Genomic DNA, 20,349 nt, shown 5'->3' on the forward strand with positions numbered 1-20,349 from the left:
ACTGCACTTGCACTTCAGCCTGGGTGACAGAGTGAGACACTTTAAAAAAATAAAAAGAAATTAAGGTAATTTCAAATTGGCATGCAAAGGAAGTCAAGATTTATTCCTTTTTTACCATGTCAAACATTATTTCATTCCCAAATTATAAAATATTGCTGCTTTTCCTAGAGGGAGCAGTCATGATTACTACTGGATCCACAGATACAAAAAAAAAAAAAAAAGGAAAAAACAATTTTGAAAGCAGCTTAATGTTGTGCCTTCTCTAAAGCCAGCTTTTGACCTATTTATTTTTAATACTTAAAAAATGTAAGAAAGGAATTGGATTTTTGCATTTAAATAAAAATAAAAGACACTAGATAGTATAGATAATAGGAACAAATAAAACAAGCAATTGGGCCTGCCTTTGGCACTTAGTATTTTCTTTGGTTTTCTCAGAATCCAGAGTAATGTGTCTGGAAAAGTACACTAGTAAAACATTGAAACACATCTCTCATTGTCCAACTCATCTCATACTCTACCATACCATTTCAAATGTAGTCTATCCATTTGTGGATATTTTCATGCTGCTTCCATTTAAATTTTTATTTCCATTTTTAAAGAAACACACTTTTTTGCATTTTTCTTTTTTATTGGTGCCATATAGTAGTTTGGAGGCATTAGTCAAGAATTGTATAAAGTTTCCCTAGCATGGCTAATAAGATTTAGTTTCTGTGATCCTGGCAGAGATTATTATCTAGAATTAAATGAGAAGATTACTTCAACCCTATATCTGAAATATCCAGGTAATAGCCTTGGCACTTAGCTTGAACTGTGCCCTCTGCCGCTATAGATTAAGGGAAGTTCCTTCTCCTTTTTTGTGTTTATTAAAAAGGTATTAATGCAAATGCTTACTGGTTAACTAGGTTCATGAAGATTCTGTCCCTCCATGTTTCCCTGAAACTATGAAAGGAGCAGGGAATTTGGGGAGAGACTGTAGTTGAAAATTCAGCTAGAGATCTTAAAGCAATTCTTCAAGCAATGTAATGTGGACCAGGCTGCATCCTACACACCTGAGCCTTATTGTAGTCCCTTTTCAGCCTCGTGCAGCAGTTGCCCCGAGTTAAGCTGCAAAGTCAGTTTCCTTCTAGACCCAAAGCTCAGCTGCTTATGCATACTTTTCTCAACCTTGGTCTGATTGGGTTAGATTGGGTTAATTCCACTCTTTCCCAAGGAGGTAACTCTAAGTACTTTCTCCCTCCCTCCCATGTCTCCTGCTTAGTCTGAGTTCCCTATTCCTAGGAGGATTGGCTCTTCCTCTTCTTTTCACAGGGTCCTGACTTGTCCTGGGCAAGCCAAGTCCATTGCTTCTGCTCCTGGGAAGTGCCAAGATTCTGCAGCGCTGACTTCAACTGCCTTTTCAGGCCTAGACTTTGGGCTGCTTTCCGGATACCTGCATAAGCAAGCCCTTGTTACTGCTACCCATCCTACCTGCACCCTGCTTTTTCCCTCTTGCCACGCTTTTTTTCCTCTCCCTCTTACCCCCACCCTGTACAAAATGCATAAAGGATGGAAAAACTACTGCAGCCAGAAGTCTTTGAATGAGGCATCAATGGATGAATATTTAGGCAGCTTAGGGCTGTTTCGAAAGCTGACTGCCAAGGATGCCTCTTGCCTCTTTCGGGCCATTTCGGAGCAGGTAAAAGGAAAACATATCTTCCCTGTACTGAGTTTTCAGAGTTTGAGACATGGGATGGTCCTGTAGTTTGCCAGAAGAAACAAAAAAATTCCCCTGCTTTCTAGTGAAAACATCGGGCCTGTCAAGGTCCTAGAGAGAAGCTGCCTGCTCTTATTAGCTTGGTGCATGCCTTTGCTGAATAGTCTATATTGCTGAACCTTTGCTATCTTTTCTGTTTTTTTAAATGCCAGTTTGTAATGTAGGAGGGGTAAGATAAGGAGGCTAAAGACAACTTTGAAATATATCTTGATCCTTTGTAAGCATCCCCTGCTTCCTCTAATTTTAATGCCTAAGAAAAAAATTATAGGCTGTGCACATAAGGAGTAGAAAAGGGGATGGGGCATGACAGTCATCCTTCCCCCATTTCGTTGAAGATGATATTAAAAAAACTTTTAGTAAGATGATTTAATTTCCCAATTTCCTACATATGTTCTGAATAAGGAAGCCTTAAGTGTCCAGTTCATAGTCTTGATTTAGAAGTGCCTATTTTAAATGACTACTGACAGTGGGCTGGTCTTTCTCTTCTTTTTAGTTGTTTTGCAGCCAGGTCCATCATTTGGAAATCAGGAAGGCTTGTGTCTCATATATGAGGGAAAATCAACAAACTTTTGAGTCTGTAAGTAGAATACATACCCAGGGGAGAACTGGTAGAGTGTGTAGCAGGTGGAAAAATAATTGTGAGCACCTACCAAAATTAAACTATATCATGCTGTCTCCTCAATAGCAAATATATAATTCCCAACTGGCTCCCTTCCCAGTAGCTAACATGCTTCTTGAGCCTCTGCTAGAATTAGGTTGTTTAGGACTCTAATTAAAAATCAAGAATAATCTACATTTTCCCACTACTTACCTCGTCCTACGCCAAGAACTCCAGACCCTAAAAAGTTATGTTTTGATTGCTGTTTTATATTATCCATACAGTTTTATTGAACAATTAATAATAGTTCATGAAAGGTTTGGCTCTGTTAATATTTTGCAATGCATATTTTAAAATACGTAAAAATGGGAACCCCCTCTATTTTCTTGCTTAATCCTGTGTACAATAATCTTCAGCCAGTCAATTTGAGGAATCTTGTAAAACTTAATTGTAAGGGAACAAATGAGTCTAAGTATCTAGTCTTTCCATGTCACAAATTGTATAATTAGAGCTCTGCCACTAATGATTAACTTTAGGTAAAACAACTTACAGAAGACATATTTGTACACCTTCATGTATTTGAATTCTTGTTAATGAAATTGGAGGCTTCCTTTTCTTTTTTTTTTTTTTAAACACTTCTGGCCCTTGCAGTGCTATTTGTTTCTTCTGTTTATTGTGGGTATTCGCCTGCTGTTCGAGTTTTACTCCTAATTTTCTCAACTGGTTTCAGTGAATTTTAAAACTATGTGAAGACTTCTTGACTTAAAAGCTTGTTACCTTGAAGTTCATTGTAGTCTTCTCTACACCTGGGGAAAGGATTATTAGTAACATTACTTCAAATGCAAGGCCATAGTGTAAAGCAGTGCGTCTCAAGTATTTCTGTGCATACAAATCACCTGGAGATCTTGTTAAAATACAGGTTTTCATTCAGTAGGTCTGAGTTGGGGCCCGAGATTTCTTTTTTTTTTTTTCTTACCTTGAGACAGGGTCTTCTCTGTTGCCCAGGCTGGAGTGCAGTGGCAGGATCACGGCTCGCTGCAGCCTCTGCCTACGAGGCTGAAGCAATCCTCCCACCTCAGCCTCCAAAGTAACTTGGGACTACAGGCACACGCCACCTCACTGGGCTAAGTTTTTTGTGTTTTTAGTAGAGATGGGGTTTCGCCATGTTGCCCAGACTGGTCTCAGACTCCTGGGCTCAAGTGATCTGCCCGCCTTGGCCTCCCAAAGTGCTGGGACTACAAGTGTGAGCCACTGCGTGCAGTGGAGATTTCTGCATTTTTAACGAACTGAAGTAATGCTTGCTATTGGTTTGTGGACAACATTTTGAGTAACAAAGATGTGTGTAAAATTTTAAAACTACGTAAATGAATCTCAATTCAGTACTGAGTGATAGAAACCAGACCCCATGCAAAGTTTATACTGTTTGATTTCCCTTATATAAAACTCTAGAAAAAATACAAGCCAATCTGTAGTGACAGAAAGCAGATCAGTGGTTATATGTCAGTTATAGAGGGGCACAAGGGTACTTACGGAAGTGATACATTCACCATCTCAATTGTGATGATGATTTCATGGGTGTATACATAAGTCAAAATTTGTACTATTTAAATTGTGCAGTTTATTGTATGTCATTTATTTATTTTTTGAGATGGAGTCTTGCTCTTTCACCCAGGCTGGAGTGCAGTGGCACGATCTCGGCTCACTGTAAGCTCCGCCTCCTGGGTTCATGCCATTCTCCTGCCTCAGCCTCCCAAGTAGCTGGGACTACAGGTGCCCGCCACCATGTCTGGCTAATTTTTTTGTATTTTTAGTAGAGATGGGGTTTCACCATGTTCGCCAGGATGGTCTCGATCTCCTGACCTCATGATCTGCCTGCCTCGGCCTCCCAAAGTGCTGGGATTACAGGCGTGAGCCACAACACCCAGCCTGTATGTCATTTATATCTCAAAACTTTTTAAAAGGAAAATTTAAATGATTTTTTAAAAGTCTAGTGATATGTATCCATGGAACTAGAAATAAATCTATTACAGTCCCTGAGTTTAATTTCATTTTTATTGAGGCATATTTTACATTCAATAAAACTCGTCATTTTAAGTTTACCATTTTTAGTTTTGGAGATGATATGCAATCATGGAACTACCACTGCAGTCAAGATATAGAATGTTTCCGTCACCCCTAAAAGGTTCGCTTGTCCCATGGTCTTTTTAGAAACTAATGAAATTCTCTTTAAAGTTCCTCAGTTTAATTTTGTAAATGCATGTTTTGTCAAATTTGAAATCCTTAGAAATACTGGTCTTGCTTGATTTATGAAAATTGTCATTACTTAAATTGGCATTTCAAATGAAACTCGAAAGCATACCATTTGATGAAATGCACTGGTATGTGGATATGCCAGGACCAATTCCTAAGATACTTTTATACTCCAGCTTTTCTCCACTCATGACTTTTGTGTATGTGCAAATCTTCTTGAGGTGCTGTGCAAAGTAGATACTTACACCATAATTGTTGAGCTGAGCAAAAAACGCATTGCAGGATAATGTAGAATATAATCAGATTTCAGTAATGCTGTGTATTTGGTTAAGTTGAGTTTGTTTTATTTTTGAAGTATGTGGAGGGATCTTTTGAGAAATACCTGGAACGGTTGGGAGATCCCAAGGTAAGATCAAATATGGGGGTTTAATCTTTTCAGAGTTATTTGGAATAGTAATGTAAATTTATTCATTCAACTGTATTATTTTAGCCAGACCCCAAATATTTTATTTAGTAGCCAGCTGTGTTGAATCCAATAGTTCTCACATAAGTTTAGAGGCTGGCAATTGACCAATTGTTTTGTGTTGAATATTGATAATTGTGTGTTAATCCCATCAACCATAGACTAGCAAAAGAGTATACACTACTTGGAAACAGGACAAGCTTAAGCCTTTTCACTTTAACGGGGGAGGAGGGTGGTAATGAATTTTACCAAGAGGTCATTATTTTGTTATTAAACAATTCCCCTGATTTGTAGTTGTCTTCCTCTTATGTGGGAGTAAAATTCATAAATTCATGCTTTATTTAGAAATAATTTTTATGTGATAAAGTTAATTCCATAGTTCTGGACTTAAAAAAGCACATTTACTAAATCCCTACTGCCTTTTTATTATACTAGTTCCATTTTTATTGTGTTTTTAAAATCTCTCCTATTAACTGTCCTTATTACTTAATGGCTAAGTAGGGCTTTAGATCCTTCTTTCAGGATAAGTTTATGTTAATAAGTAGCTATCACAGTATTCCAAGCCTTAAAACAGGTTATAGTGTGTTCTACAAATTCTTCATCTAAAACAGTGCTAAGCAGCTAAAAATTTGTTGTGCTTGAAAAAACTACCTCCTAGCTACAGAATGTTTTTTAAAACTCAATACACTATTTATGTTTAGGAAAGTGCTGGCCAGCTGGAAATAAGAGCTCTTTCTCTAATTTATAAGTAAGTTATATCCTCTTTTCTTTGAGAGTGGGTATGTGCATGCATGTGTGTATAAGATCTCAACGGTCTCTTCAGGATTGGGGAAATTTGAGATTTGATGTATTGATACCTAGAATGAAGAAAGCTAAGAAAAAGTGTTAAAATATTTTAAATGGTTGAAAAGTCAAAAGAAGAATGTTTCATGGGATGGAAAAATTATATAAAATTCAGATTTCAGTGTCTGTAAAGCTTTGTTGGAACACAGTTATGCTCATTCACTTACGCATTGTCTGTGGCTGCTTTCATGCTACCAAAGCAAAGTTGAATAAACCATATAGTCTGCAAAAGCTGAAATGCCTATTTTCTAGCCTTTTGCCAAAAAAATTGCCAACCTCTGCTTTAAATAAAGGAGAGCACCATCCCCCAACTCACAGACATACATACAATTGATAATTGGTTGTCTTTACCCCTTCTCCTCCCAAATTAAGATACATAAAAAAAAATCCATAGGACTTTAGGGGCAATTAGCTGTCTACCTTGAATTAACATCATTTAGCCCTTTTGGGTTATTTTAAAGCCAAACATTAAACCGGATATTTATATTACTTTATATGAATAAGGTAGGCAACTTAAAAGCACAAATAGTTGTTCCTATAACTATCTCTTACGTATGCCAAATTATGTCTTCCCACTTACCTTTGTTTTCCCCATATAGTCGGGATTTCATTCTTTATCGCTTTCCTGGAAAACCTCCAACTTATGTCACAGATAATGGCTATGAAGACAAGGTAAGAAGATGAGTGAATGTTGACTTATATAAAAGAAGTTGAATGATGCTTCTGGCTTGCCTGGATATTAAATCATTTTTAACCTAATTAATGAAAAGCATAGTCTGAATGACAGGTTTCTCTGTTACTAGCATTTTCCTCTCTAGTCAGTTAATCTCAGTGTTGTTAGCCCTCTAAACAGACCTGATCGTCATTTCTCTGTGATAGGAAAAAAGCCACCCCAAACCCTAATTGGCTTCTCAATGACTAAAAAGGATAAGGTTCAAACTTTGAAGCTAGGCATTCAGCATCCTGAAAGGTCCCAAACCAGCTTCATTTTCTTCCATCCTTATTATGCCATGCTTCCAGGTATTCTGCTTTTCATACTTTGTGTCTTTGTATTTGAAACTTTCCCAATGCCCCTGGAGTCATTTTCTCACTTTGTGCTCCCTTAGCAGCTCCCAAGTAATTGTAGTGTTTATTATATTGTGTTTGTTTTCATATGTATTTCTTTCATTATCTGAAAGTTTCTTGAGGGAAGTGACAGTGTCTACTACTGCCTGGTAAAGTACTTGATTGTTAGTTGAGAATACTCAGCAGATAAATTGTTTGTCAGCATACAGCTTCTCCAAAAAGTTTATAAAAGAAAAGCCCTTTATCCTGATTATTTTATTAGTGAAATATAGACTACACAATGTTTGAGTTCTATATGTCTTATTTCACAACATGGAACACAATTTAGACACAATTCTAATGATGGCATGACAAGACTGGAGACCAGGAGAACTGTTAGGATGCTGTTACGATAATCGAGGGTGAATACCTGAACTAAGGAGAAGTAGCATTAGGAATAGAGAAGACTGAATAGGAGATAACTTAGAAGATAAGTATGAACGGGGTACGTTAATTATCTCTTTTCTGAGCTTTGGGGACACCAAAATGAATACAGTGAAATCCTTGCCCTCCAAGAGCTTAAGGGACAATGAAGACAGACCTGCAAAGGGTTAATTACAGCAAAGTGGTAAGTTTTATAATAAAAAAAATTGTGCTAAAAGCATAAGGGAAAAAGCCCTTCTTTCTGCTTGAGGGAGTTTAGAAAGCTTCATGGTGGTAGTGACATTTAAGTGGAGTATAAAAGAGTCCATCAAATATGAAGAGCAGTCTATTCAGAGGAAACACTATATACAGAGGCATAGAAGCAAGAGACCCTTTGGGAGTTAAGTAGTTGGATGTGAGGAGGATGATGCTGGAAAGATAGTCTAGAGTTACATAGTAAGAGGTAGAGCAGGCCATGCCAAATAATTTGTCTTTTCATTGTACAGAATAGTCATTTGAAACTTTTTCCCAACGTTTTATTATGATGTTCAAACATACAGAAAAGTTAAAAGAATTTTACAGTGAGCATCCATATACCTACCCACCACCTAGAGTCTGCTGTTAACATCTTAGTATTCTTATCACATATCTATTCCTCGATCCATTCATCTGTCCATCTTTCTTTTTTGATATATTTTAAAGTAAATTTCAGACACCAGAAAACTTGACCCTAAATGCTAATGGAAAGTTTTTAGGCAAAGGTGTGACATAATCTGAATTGTTTGAGGAAGAGGAGTGTTAACTTTTGTATCTAAGCAGTTGTACATAGCATTGCTTGAGATGAAATTTGGATCTTTACCAGGGATCTTTAAACTCCCAGTTCAGTTTTTCCTCAACATTGTATTCTGAAATTTTTCATACAGAGAGAAGTATGAAGACTCATGCAGTAAACATTCATGTACCCACCACTTAGTTCCTACAATTACACAGTTCCATTTATAAATGTCTTGTGTATCTTACAGAGAGATTATTTAGCTAATTTAGGGGGAACGTTACCCATTGGGAACCATGAGAATACAAAAATTTCAGACCTTTTGAGTGTGTACAACCTACAAATATCCATACATGTATACAGAGCTAATACTTACCAGCACTTGGGTATTTTCATGTACAGGATAGTGCATATATATGTCTGATTTGGGAATTTATGAAGTGGGAGTGTGTGTTTATATTGAAAAGCCAGGTGCTTTTATTTTGTGATGCTTTGCTTTGCCTAAAACTTTGTTGCTTTATCTCAGTTCACACTCCTAAGATTGGCATCAGGATTGAATTTTTAAAAATGAGGCCGGGTGTGGTGGCTAATGCCTGTAATCCCAGCACTTTGGGAGGTCGAGGTGGGTGGATCACTTGAGGTCAGGAGTTTGAGACCAGCCCGGCCAATATGGTGAAACCCCGTGTCTATTAAAAATACCCAAATTAGCTGGGTGTGGTGGCGCATGCCTGTAATCCCAGCTACTTGGGAGGCTGAGGCAGAAGAATCACTTGAGCCCAGGAGGCGGAGGTTGCAGTGAGCCAAGATTGCGCCGCTGCACTCCAGCCTGGGCGACAGAGCAAGACTCCATCTCAGAAATAAATAAATAAAAATGATTGTATTATAGGCAGTGAACATTATTAATGAGCCTTCTAAAAATATTTTAGAACAAACTTTCATAGAAATAAATGTCTAATATTCACTTTGGCATCTTTCATCTTGTGTGTTGACTTAATTCTGCATTCTACATAGTTATCTTCAGTTTCTTAAGTGTATTCAGCTGAAATCGAGCCATCTTCACTCAGCTCATTTGCTCTATCTAGATAGAAGTACATACTTACATTAAAAAGAAAATAAAATTAAGTCTTGAAATGTAGAGTAAGAAAGTCCCCACTCATCCTCTTCAATTTTATGCCCTTCAAAGTAACAAGTATTGGTTCTCATGCACTTCAAAGTAACAAACTATTAAGTATTGGTGAGTATCTTTCTGTATCATTTTATTTGTGTTTGTCTTTTAAATGTAAATGGGCCCATATTTAACATTGTTACTTGTTCTTTTTAAATATCCTTCTTAGTAATATAGATCTACCCCATTTTTTCACTAGTTTACTGCCATTAATTACATCCCATCTGCCCACTCCCAACCACCCACAAGTATGTATGAATTACTTTCATGTTGGGAAAGCCATCATGCCTTGTTTTGCCTCTTCCAGTCAAAATGGAAATTCTTGCCACTTGAATAGAGAAATTATATAGTTGTCTGTCTTCTTTCTATAAGAACTGCTTATTCATCACTCTGGTTAACTGGATTCCTTTATTCCTTAACAACTGCCTCTAAGTTATTAATATTTCTTAGAGTTCCCAGTTCTTGTAGCCCAAAGTACAAAGGATTTCTCTGCTCAAAATCTGCTCACTGTTCTTATGGGTTAATAAACTCTTAAATGCAAATACCCCTTGTGGTGGGAGAAACTTATAACTTAAACTTTACTGTGAGTTACTTAAGCTTGACACTTGACTTCAGTACTTTGAAATGGATTATTACTGAAATAGAATTGTGATTTCCAAAAAGACAAGTGAAGAATAATAGACCTGGGATCAAATAACTGGATTATTGGGAGAAGTTAGCCCAGGGAAGAGTAGGAAGACAGAAAAAAAGAATGCTTAGGATAATTTTTTTTTCTGCCAAGGAGGCTTGGTGGCAACATCTTTCCACAGATTGCAGAATCATTTTGAGTAACTCAGGTTGCTGATACCTTCAAAATGGAAGAACCTTAATCACTAGGGATTATATCCCTTATATAAGACATTTTTTTTTGTTTTTTTTTTAAGAGATGGGGATCTCACTATGTTGCCTAGGCTGGAGTGTGGTGGCTATTCACAGGTGAGATCATAGCACACTATAGCTTCAAACCCCTGGGCTCAAGTGACCCTCCTGCTGTAGTAGCTGAGACTATAGGCACACACCATCCCACCTGGTGAAGACAGATTTTTTCAACAAAAATTCAGAAAGGTTTTGGAACAGTTATATAAACAAATTTCATCACATGCAACATTTTGACTGAAAAAATTTTGCTTAACAAGCATGGCCTTTGAATTGTTTTGGGAAAAAAAAACCTCTAGGGATTCAGGGAATCAGCTCAGACGTTAAACTGTCATTTTTGTAGCCTGAGATGTGCCTTAATTCATTGAGGAAGTCTCTCTAGCAGTATTGGTGCTATATAGTGTATTGATATATTGCTATTCAGTTAAATGGATAACTTTCGAAATAATTGAATAAAATCCCTTTCCTCCCTTAGTCTGAGTTTGGAGTATTTGGGTATTTGACCTAATTTTTCCAGTCATTCTTGGAAGTTAGCTGGGTCTTTTGGCATCTGTTAGGCTTTCTGTTATGTTCAATAACTCAATTTCTAAGTGTTCCTTTTTTTTTTTTTTTTTTTAGCAAATTTGTAAATCAGGACTTGTTTGGTATATTAATGTGATTGAGGCTCACAGTGTAACCTTAGTAGTGATTTTAATCTTGGCATTTAAAAGTCACTGCCAAGAAAATCTCTATGAGGTACAGGTTGCATTTCCTTATATTTAGATTTTAAAAATCACTTTAAAAAAATTCAGTTAGTTATCAGTTACTGACTACTGACTCAATTTCAAGTTAATTATCATCTTAATTTCATGGTTTTAAGATGTGTAACATTCACTTAATTGTTCTGTGTGTTTTTCTTTAGATTCTACTCTGCTACTCAAGTAGTGGTCACTATGATTCTGTGTACTCAAAACAATTTCAGTCAAGTGCAGCTGTTTGTCAGGGTATGTGAAGGCTTTATAAATTGTGGGTGTGATTTCAGATGACTTGTTTTCACTCAGGGACCCACCATGAATAGCCCCTTTAAAACCTTGTTGGTACCTATTTGCACGCAGGATTATGACTATTTTCACATAGTTAATATAAATCTTATTTTGACAATTGGAATTTTGACCATTTTTTCTTCAGCTGTATTGTACGAAATTCTCTATAAAGATGTGTTTGTTGTGGATGAAGAAGAGTTGAAGACTGCGATTAAATTGTTTCGAAGTGGTTCTAAGAAGAACAGAAATAATGCTGTAACTGGAAGCGAGGATGCCCATACTGATTACAAGAGTTCAAATCAGAATAGGTAATAAAGGGAAAGGGGATATCATGATAATTATGTTTCATACTTCTGTGCATAATCATTTGAAAGTGGAAGGGGCCTGGCAAGCTTATGAGTTAGGTTACATATTCACACGTACACATATGTTAGGATATATATTTTTAATGGGGGGAGAGTTTTACCAAAGAGATGTGTCGTGAGATGCCCAGACTTGGGGGTTTTGTTCAGGTCCGTTTTGTATTGCTAGAAGAAACTTCAGAACTATCTAATTACATGATTCTCAAACTTTAGTTGTATAAGAATTATAGTGCTTGTTAGAAAGGCAGGTTCCTGGGCCTACTGTCACAAAATTTGAGGTCAGGATGGGACCAGGAATCTGTTTTTTAAACAAGTGTGCCTAAGCATTCTGATGTAGGTAGGCTGTGGATCATACTTTGAGAAAATACTGATTCTAAAGTAGCACCATCATTTTCTAGGTAATAACTGAGGTTAGTTGACACATCCAGCCAGTAGAAAATTTCTCAGTGTAAGTTTTGGGAGTGTTTTAGTGTCTGCCTTTGGTATGCACTGTGAGTGTGCCTCTGAGGAAACAACTGTTGAACAGCTCTAGTTGAACACTTTGGGTTTGAAATAATAAAGTACATGTCTTATATTTCTTCCTAATTCCTAGTTCTGCCTGCAAATTCAGATAGGTTTGGTGCTAGGTAAGTGTCACCTTGTGTTTTTTGTCTTGCAGTTCTATTTCTTGGATGTTTAAAGCTTACAATTTTTTTTCTTTTTTTTTTTTTTTTTTTGAGACGGAGTCTCGCTCTGTCAGCCAGGCTGGAGTGCAGTAGCGCGATCTCAGCTCACTGCAACCTCCGCCTCCCAGGTTCAAGCAGTTCTCCTGCCTCAGCCTCCCGAGTAGCTGGGACTACAGGCGTGTGTCACCAAGCCCGGCTAATTTTTTGTATTTTTAGTAGAGATGGGGTTCACAGGTTTAGCCAGGATGATCTTGGTCTCCTGACCTCGTGATCCATCCGCCTCGGCCTCCCAAAGTGCTGGGATTACAGACGTGAGCCACCACACCCGGCAGAAGAGGGTTTTTAAAGCTTATTTGGGACTGCCAGGAGTGGCAACCATGTATTAGGGTAAAGGTTGCTTCACTCTTCACTGATCACTTGTCTTAAGGACTTCAGGCTTACGGAAACTACAGTAGTCGGAAAGCAAGGTGTATTAGTTATGTTTTGCTGTGTAGCAATGTTACTACAAACTTGCCAGCTTAAAACAGCACATTTTTCTCACAATTTATGTGGATTAGGAATCTGGACACGGCTTAGCTAGATCTTCTGCTGAGTGTCTCATAAGACTGTAATGAGGATGTTGGTCAGGACTGAGTTCTTATCTGGAGCTTTGACTGGAGAAAAGTCTACTTCCCCACTCATGGTTCTTGGCAGCATTCAGTTCCTTCGAGCTATAGGACTGAGAGCTTCAAGTTTTTGCTGTCAGTTGGCAGAAGTAACCCTCAGCTCTGCTACATTGCAGTGGTGAATATGGCTGTTTGCTTCCTTATAGGCAGCAGAGGAGAGAGAGAGACCAGTAAAATGAATGAGGCAGGGATCATAGGGATCACCCTAAGAGTGTGTTCTCACAGGAGTTGTAAAATATAGGAGGTAATCTGCTAAGTATATTGTAGCACATACTTATAAAAACGAAGCATAAATGCAAATGTTGGAATGAAAAAGCATTTGCCTTATTTTTAGAACTGAGTTAATTTACCACTAGGTGGTGGTGTAGTCATTAGGCTTAACATAAGTAAATTCTTCATTTATAAAAAGCTCTTTGCTCTAAATCTTTTGAATTAGGATGGAAGAGTGGGGTGCCTGCTACAATGCTGAAAATATACCAGAGGGCTACAATAAAGGAACAGAAGAAACAAAGGTTTGATATTTTCTAAGGCAAAGAATTTTCATAGTCTTGGCTTGCAGCATCATGACTTAAACTAGTTAAAGTCAGATATTATATTCTAGTTATATGGGTTGAGGGAGGAGTTGGTCATTTTCCTTTGTGAAAGTCTTACCTATCTTTAAACTTCAAATGCATACTTAATGTTCTTTGAATTCTTATTTTTACAGAATTTTAGATTTTTCAGAACAAACTGAACACTTCAGAAATTTCAAGAGCAATATGTTTTTAAGTTAAATATTACAAACCCAATATTTAGTTTGTAATCAGTCTTCTGACGCTAAGGTTTTTTTCATTAAGGAATACAATGCCTATCTTTATTTTATTCAAACTAGGTGATAATCATGGTTTAAAGTTAGAGAAACAGAAATTTCACCATCCGTATAGGACTAAAATCAAATAGGCCTTCAGTTTGAGGCTAGCTAAATAAGTCAAATACTATTATAGCAATCTCTGTGTATACCTGAGGTGCTTATAATTTTGGAATAGTATTGAATATGGTGAAATTCTAGGAAAGCAGAAGAAAAATGGTAGTTCCTTTGGAAATTTTAACAGGATTTGACCATAATGAAGTAACCTTCAGATATTTCCAGGTGATTGTAGAGTACAGAAATATTGCACCTCCATGTGTATATCATGATAACACTTCCTGAATAGCTCTGAATTTTTAATCCTGGTTTGTGTTGCATTGGTTTATATGGGATGTGTCCTGAGTCATTGCCAGGTTTAGACATTATTTCCCTTCTGCCATCTAAAACCTTTTAGATTACTTGCATTTTGCTACTTTAGTCTCCTGATTTTTAAAATATATGGCAAAATTTATTGTGCGATTTATTTCTTGTTTTAATAAAGAACGACGTGGTTTTTTTTTTTTTTAAGAAGGAAGAAACTTAATTCTTCCTTCTTCATAGAAGGAAGAAACTTAATTCTTCCTTCTTCATAGAAGGAAGAAACTTAATTCTTCCTTCTTCATAGAAGGAAGAAACTTAATTCTTCCTTCTTCATAGAAGGAAGAAACTTAATTCTTCCTTCTTCATAGAAGGAAGAAACTTAATTCTTCCTTCTTCATAGAAGGAAGAAACTTAATTCTTCCTTCTTCATAGAAGGAAGAAACTTAATTCTTCCTTCTTCATAGAAGGAAGAAACTTAATTCTTCCTTCTTCATAGAAGGAAGAAACTTAATTCTTCCTTCTTCATAGAAGGAAGAAACTTAATTCTTCCTTCTTCATAGAAGGAAGAAACTTAATTCTTCCTTCTTCATAGAAGGAAGAAACTTAATTCTTCCTTCTTCATAGAAGGAAGAAACTTAATTCTTCCTTCTTCATAGAAGGAAGAAACTTAATTCTTCCTTCTTCATAGAAGGAAGACTAAGGATTGTGAGTTTGTAGCATGATTATTTTTGTTTTAGTCTCCAGAAAATCCATCAAAGATGCCCTTCCCCTATAAGGTGCTCAAAGCCCTGGATCCAGAAATCTATCGTAATGTAGAATTTGATGTTTGGTTGGACAGCAGAAAAGGTAAAGAAATATCAACAGGATACTTTTGAATCCTGACAAATCCAGGAGTATAATTTTGCAAATTATGGTGAACATCTCTTATAAGAAATACTGTTATAAAAAATAGCCTGATGCTTTTTATCTTACTTTATATATGATTTAAATCCAAAGGAGGGAACATAGCTTTAGAAGTGGGAGGGATCTTTTAAAGCCTGATGTTTGCCTGGGACTTCAACTTTGCAAAGACTGTGTGGAGACAATTTTTAGATAGCATTAAGAAACTTAGTGACTGAAAACAAGCTCATCTTAAATTCCAGGTGTTAAGACCACCTTCCTTGATAAATGAGTAGGTTAGGCCTGTGGGTCAAATCTGACACACCAACTGTTTTTATGTGGTCTATGAGCTAAGAATGGTCTTTAATTCTTAAATGGCAGAAAAAATTAAAAGAATAATATATCGTGACACATGAAAATTATATAATTCAAATTTCAGTGTTCATAACATTTTACAGCAGAGTTTGAGTAGTTCTGAGAGTCTTATGGCCCAAGAAACTGAAAATACTATCTGGCTCTTTATGGAAAAAGTTTACCAACCCTTGAAAATAGGTCATTGTTTCTCTCCTTATAAGATAACTAAAGTGATCAACCTAGGCCTTAAAGTTTTGCCTTCAAGATAAGCCTTTAGTATTTCACATTCAACTCCTTGAACCCTGGTAAACCTAGCTGTAGTTAACAATCTAGAATGAGGTTAAGACCTTGGGAAACACAGTAAGTTGTTAAAAAAATAATAGGTTGATTTGAGAAGCTGAATAATGTTACTTTCAAATTGTACCTCGTTAGTGTTTGACTATCTCTGATTACAAACTCCCAATTTCCACCTATTTGTTTTTTAAAGCACAAAATTATTCTGGCACGTCTTTTTAAATTGACTGCAGAAATAACTCATCCAGAATGATAGAATCGCCCTTTGGGACTTTACCCCTATTTTCACTTATAGTGGTAGCGTTGTCAAAGGCACTACGGTAAAAGTAAATGAGGAAATTAAATGATATAGGAAAGGAACCAGTTTAGTTGAGCTTGAATCTTCATTTTCTTTTAATAGAACTTCAAAAATCTGATTACATGGAGTATGCTGGGAGACAGTACTATTTGGGAGACAAGTGTCAGGTTAGTTCCTTCTTCAAGAATCAGTAATTTTTTTAAGAATGTGCTTTTTGTCATGATATGAGTTGAACAAGACTTATTTACAAAGTACTAGAAACTTTTTATTTATATTTTTAAAGAGATAGGGTCTAGCTCTGTTGCCTAGGCTGGAGTGTAGTGGCATGATCCTGGCTCACTGCAGCCTCGAACTCCTGGGCTCAAGTGATCCTCCTTTCCTCAGCCTCTCTAGTGGCTGGGACTACAGGCACATACCACCATGCCTGGCTAATTTTTTTTATTTTTATTTATTTATTTATTTATTTTTATTTTTTTTTTGAGACGGAGTCTTGCTCTGTCTCCCAGGCTCTGGAGTGCAGTGGCATGATCTCTGCTCACTGCAAGCTCTGCCTCCCGGGTTCATGCCTCAGCCTCCCAAGTAGCTGGGACTACAGGCGCCTGCCACCATGCCTAATTTTTTGTATTTTTAGTAGAGACGTGGTTCCACCGTGTTAGCCAGGATGGTCTTGATCTCCTGACCTCGTGATCCACCCATCTCAGCCTCCCAAAGTGCTGGGATTACAGGTGTGAGCCAGTGCACCTGGACTATTTTTATTTTCTTTTATAGAAACAGGGTCTTACTATGTTGCCCAGGCTGGTCTCATTCCTGGCCTCAAGTGATCCTCCCACCTTGGCCTCCCAATGTTGGGATTACAGGCATGAGCCACCACACCCAGCCGAAAAAAAAAATGTTTCTTTAATGTCTGTGTTAAATTTTAATTACAAATTTAGTGATTAGATGTAAGGTTCTTTCAGTATGTGCTGTCTCCATTGATCCAGACTGGCAGTGTTGATACGAATTACTTTAAAAAGTAGACACTGAACTCCATTTGGGGAAAAGTGGTATTTTGTTTGGCATTAGCTGTATCTGTCACTAGTCTTGAGACTAGAAGTATTCTCTTTTCAGGTTTGCTTGGAATCAGAAGGAAGATATTATAATGCTCATATCCAGGAAGTTGGAAATGAGAACAATTCAGTAACAGTCTTCATTGAAGAATTGGCGGAAAAGTAGGAATATGATAATTTGTTGAATTACTGAAATCTTTGGTTCCTGGTTCCATTTCGTAATATTAAATTGAGAATTACCAGGATGCTAGTAAGAGAACCAGAATTGTATCTACTGTTGGCCTAGGATGACTTATCTTGAATTATAAAAGCATGTGCTGAAGTATGAATCAATATAGATATTAGATATGTATAAAAGTTTTCAAATCTTAAGACACTAGCCTACTTATTAGAAATATTAAGTACAACAGAATTCTGATACAAAACTGTTCATAGTAATTGCAAAGTTGAATTAATAACTGAGCCTCTGCCAGCATGAAGATAAGCTAATCTAGTCTTTCTCAAACTTTACCATGCACCAGAATTACCTGGAGGGCTTGTGAAAACACAAGATTAGTGAGCCCAGTCTCTAAAGTTTCTGATTCAGTAAGTCTGAGGTGGGGCCCATGAATTTTAATTTTGGACAAGTTTCCAGGTGATGATAATGCTGCTGGTCCACTTTGAGAACCATTAAATGAGGCTGTGCTGCTCTAACAACCAAAACATTTCAGCAGCTTAAAACAGTAAGGTCCTTCCTCCTTCATTTAGCATGTCCATAGTGGGTCAGCAAATGGGATCCGGTTCAACAGAGATTCTATTTTAACACGTGCATCCATGATCATAGGGAATAAAATGAGAACAAACCACTTGCTGAATCTTAAAATGTCTCATACTTTATTAACCAGAGTGGTTTACATTCCCAAGCCTCATGTCAATGGGGTGGGGAAATTTAATCCTCCAAGGAGGCACAGCAAATATTTGTGAACTAATACAGTCTACCACAGTCTTTCTTCTGAAATGTCATCGGTACTAGAAACAGCAGTGAAATTGTACAAACTACTCTTAAGTTTTCTAAACTAATAAAAAATTAAACAAGGAAACTGGTGTCAACCAGGTTTTAATAGAATACACTTGAAGTATAAGGGGTGGGATACGTGTATTGAATGAAAGTTAAGTCTGTGTTGCAGTATCTTCATGGTGATACCTTTAACTTTTAAGGCATGTTGTTCCACTGGCTAACTTAAAACCAGTTACCCAAGTGATGTCTGTTCCTGCCTGGAATGCTATGCCCAGTCGGAAAGGAAGAGGTTACCAGAAAATGCCTGGGGGTTATGTCCCGGAAATAGGTTTGTATGCTAAAGGTTGTTATTTTGTTTTTCCCTTCCTGTACCTGCTTTTACTTACCTGCATTGTACTATTTTTTAAATGTATGTCATATGTCTTGTTGTAGGGTAGGGTTTCTCAACTTTAGCATTACTGATAATGGAATGGATACTACTTCACTGTCGGGGGTTTGTCCTGTGCATTGTAGGGTGCTTCATAGCATCCCTGGCTTCTATCCACTAGAAACAAAAATGTTTCCAGACATTGCCAAATATTCCCTAGAGGAGGGAGAGGCACAGTTGTCCCTGGTTGAGAACCATGGTTCTTAAGGGACTTTGTGTAAACTTAAGCACTCATATTTGAGAGCTAAAAAGAAAAAAATGATCTTGTGGAGATGAGTAGAATGATGGTTACCAGAGGCTCAGAAGGGTATTGGGGGTGGGGGATAAAGAGGGATTAGTTAATGGGTACAAAAATAGGTAGTAGGATTAAGATCTAGTATTTGGTAGCATAATAGGGTGACTGTAGTTAACAATTGCATATTTCAAAAAAACTAGAGGACTGGATTTGGAATGTTCCCAACATAAAGAATTTGTAAATGTTTGAGGTGATAGATATCCCAGTTACCTTGATTTGATCATTATACATTGTATGCTTGTATCAAAATAGTGCATGTACCCCATAAATACGTACTGTTCTACACCTATAAAAATTAATTTAAAAAACTTAAGCTGACATGGATCTTAACCTGAGGGGGAAAAATATTTCTTAGAGACCTGAGGGGGAAAAATATTTCTTAGAGAACTAGGAAAATACCTCATAGAAGCAGCCAGGGATATTAACAGGCATAATTTATTAGAGAATAGTAATGTGTGTGATTGGATGACTCGGAGTTTTTGGGGTTTTTGTTTGTTTGTTTGTTTGAGACAGAATCTCGCTCTTTGGCCCAGGCCGGACTGCAGTGGCGCTATCTCGGCTCACTGTAAGCTCCACCTCCCGGGTTCACGCCATTCTCCTGCCTCAGCCTCCCAAGTAGCTGGGACTACAGGCTCCTGCCACCGTGCCTGGCTAATTTTTTTTGTATTTTTAGTAGAGATGGGGTTTCACCGTGTTAGCCAAGATGGTCTCGATCTCCTGACCTCGTGATCTGCCCGCCTCGGCCTCCCAAAGTGCTGGGATTACAGGCGTGTTTTGTTTTTTTTTTTTTTTTTTTTTGAGACAGTCTCACTCTGTCGCCCAGGCTGGAGTGCAGTTGTGCGATCTTGGCTCATTGCAACCTCCACCTTTCGGGCTCAAGCAATTCTCCTGCCTCAGCCTTCTGAGTAGCTGGGATTACAGGCGCACGTTACCACGCCTGGCTAATTCTTGCATTTTCAGTAGAGACGGTTTCACCATGTTAACTAGGCTGTCCTTGAACTCCTGACCTCAAGTGATCCACCCACCTCGGCCTTCCAAAGTGCTGGGATTACAGGCGTGAGCCACCGTGCCTGGCCATGGATGACTCAGTGTTTTGATGACCTATACTAACCTGCCCATGCTGGGGATAGTGCCGAGATATACCCATTGATACAGAAATTACCTGCTGGTTTTGTCCTTCCAAATAAAAGATCTAGTATATCCTTCAAAAATACAAAAATTCCCTCCCTATGTTTATTTGGTTTGTTCCTAGGGGAAGCATTGGAAAGTTTAAGGCAGTGTGGTGGTGACAGTACACTGGGCCTTTTGCTTTGATTATGAAGCTTATTTGCTACCTCTTTGTTTGCCTGAAAGTTATATCAGAGATGGACATAAAGCAACAGAAGAAGATGTTCAAGAAAATTCGAGGGAAAGAAGTTTACATGACTATGGCTTACGGCAAGGGAGACCCCCTCCTCCCACCCAGGCTGCAGCACAGTATGCATTATGGGCACGATCCTCCAATGCACTACTCACAGACAGCTGGCAATGTTATGTCTAATGAACATTTTCATCCTCAGCATCCATCTCCGAGACAAGGTCGGGGATATGGGATGCCCAGGTAAGACATTGA

The 20,349-nt window shown here is 37.6% G+C and overlaps 1 protein-coding gene across 36 annotated transcripts in view; it reads left to right on the forward strand.

Annotated features, from left to right (window-relative positions):
* ALG13 (ALG13 UDP-N-acetylglucosaminyltransferase subunit) overlaps positions 1-20,349 on the forward strand; it is a 79,480-nt gene that overhangs the window by 25,549 nt on the left and 33,582 nt on the right. For 24 of the 36 annotated variants that reach the window (XM_011531031.2, NM_001257237.2, NM_001257231.2 and 21 more), the window contains 13 exons: positions 1,309-1,675; positions 2,247-2,330; positions 4,957-5,007; positions 5,766-5,812; positions 6,507-6,579; positions 11,128-11,209; positions 11,394-11,556; positions 13,377-13,452; positions 14,885-14,993; positions 16,075-16,139; positions 17,080-17,180; positions 18,216-18,343; positions 20,091-20,337. In XM_011531031.2, the coding sequence (XP_011529333.1) occupies positions 1,309-1,675; positions 2,247-2,330; positions 4,957-5,007; positions 5,766-5,812; positions 6,507-6,579; positions 11,128-11,209; positions 11,394-11,556; positions 13,377-13,452; positions 14,885-14,993; positions 16,075-16,139; positions 17,080-17,180; positions 18,216-18,343; positions 20,091-20,337 (1,593 nt within the window). Of the gene's footprint in view, positions 1-1,308; positions 1,676-2,246; positions 2,331-4,956; positions 5,008-5,765; positions 5,813-6,506; positions 6,580-10,234; positions 10,287-11,127; positions 11,210-11,393; positions 11,557-13,376; positions 13,453-14,884; positions 14,994-16,074; positions 16,140-17,079; positions 17,181-18,215; positions 18,344-20,090; positions 20,338-20,349 lie in introns of those variants that run through there. The other 12 variants (XM_047442521.1, XM_047442522.1, XM_047442525.1 and 9 more) reach the window with 10 other exon arrangements.

Source organism: Homo sapiens, chromosome X (assembly GCF_000001405.40).
Source record: "Homo sapiens chromosome X, GRCh38.p14 Primary Assembly".
NCBI lineage: Eukaryota > Metazoa > Chordata > Mammalia > Primates > Hominidae > Homo > Homo sapiens.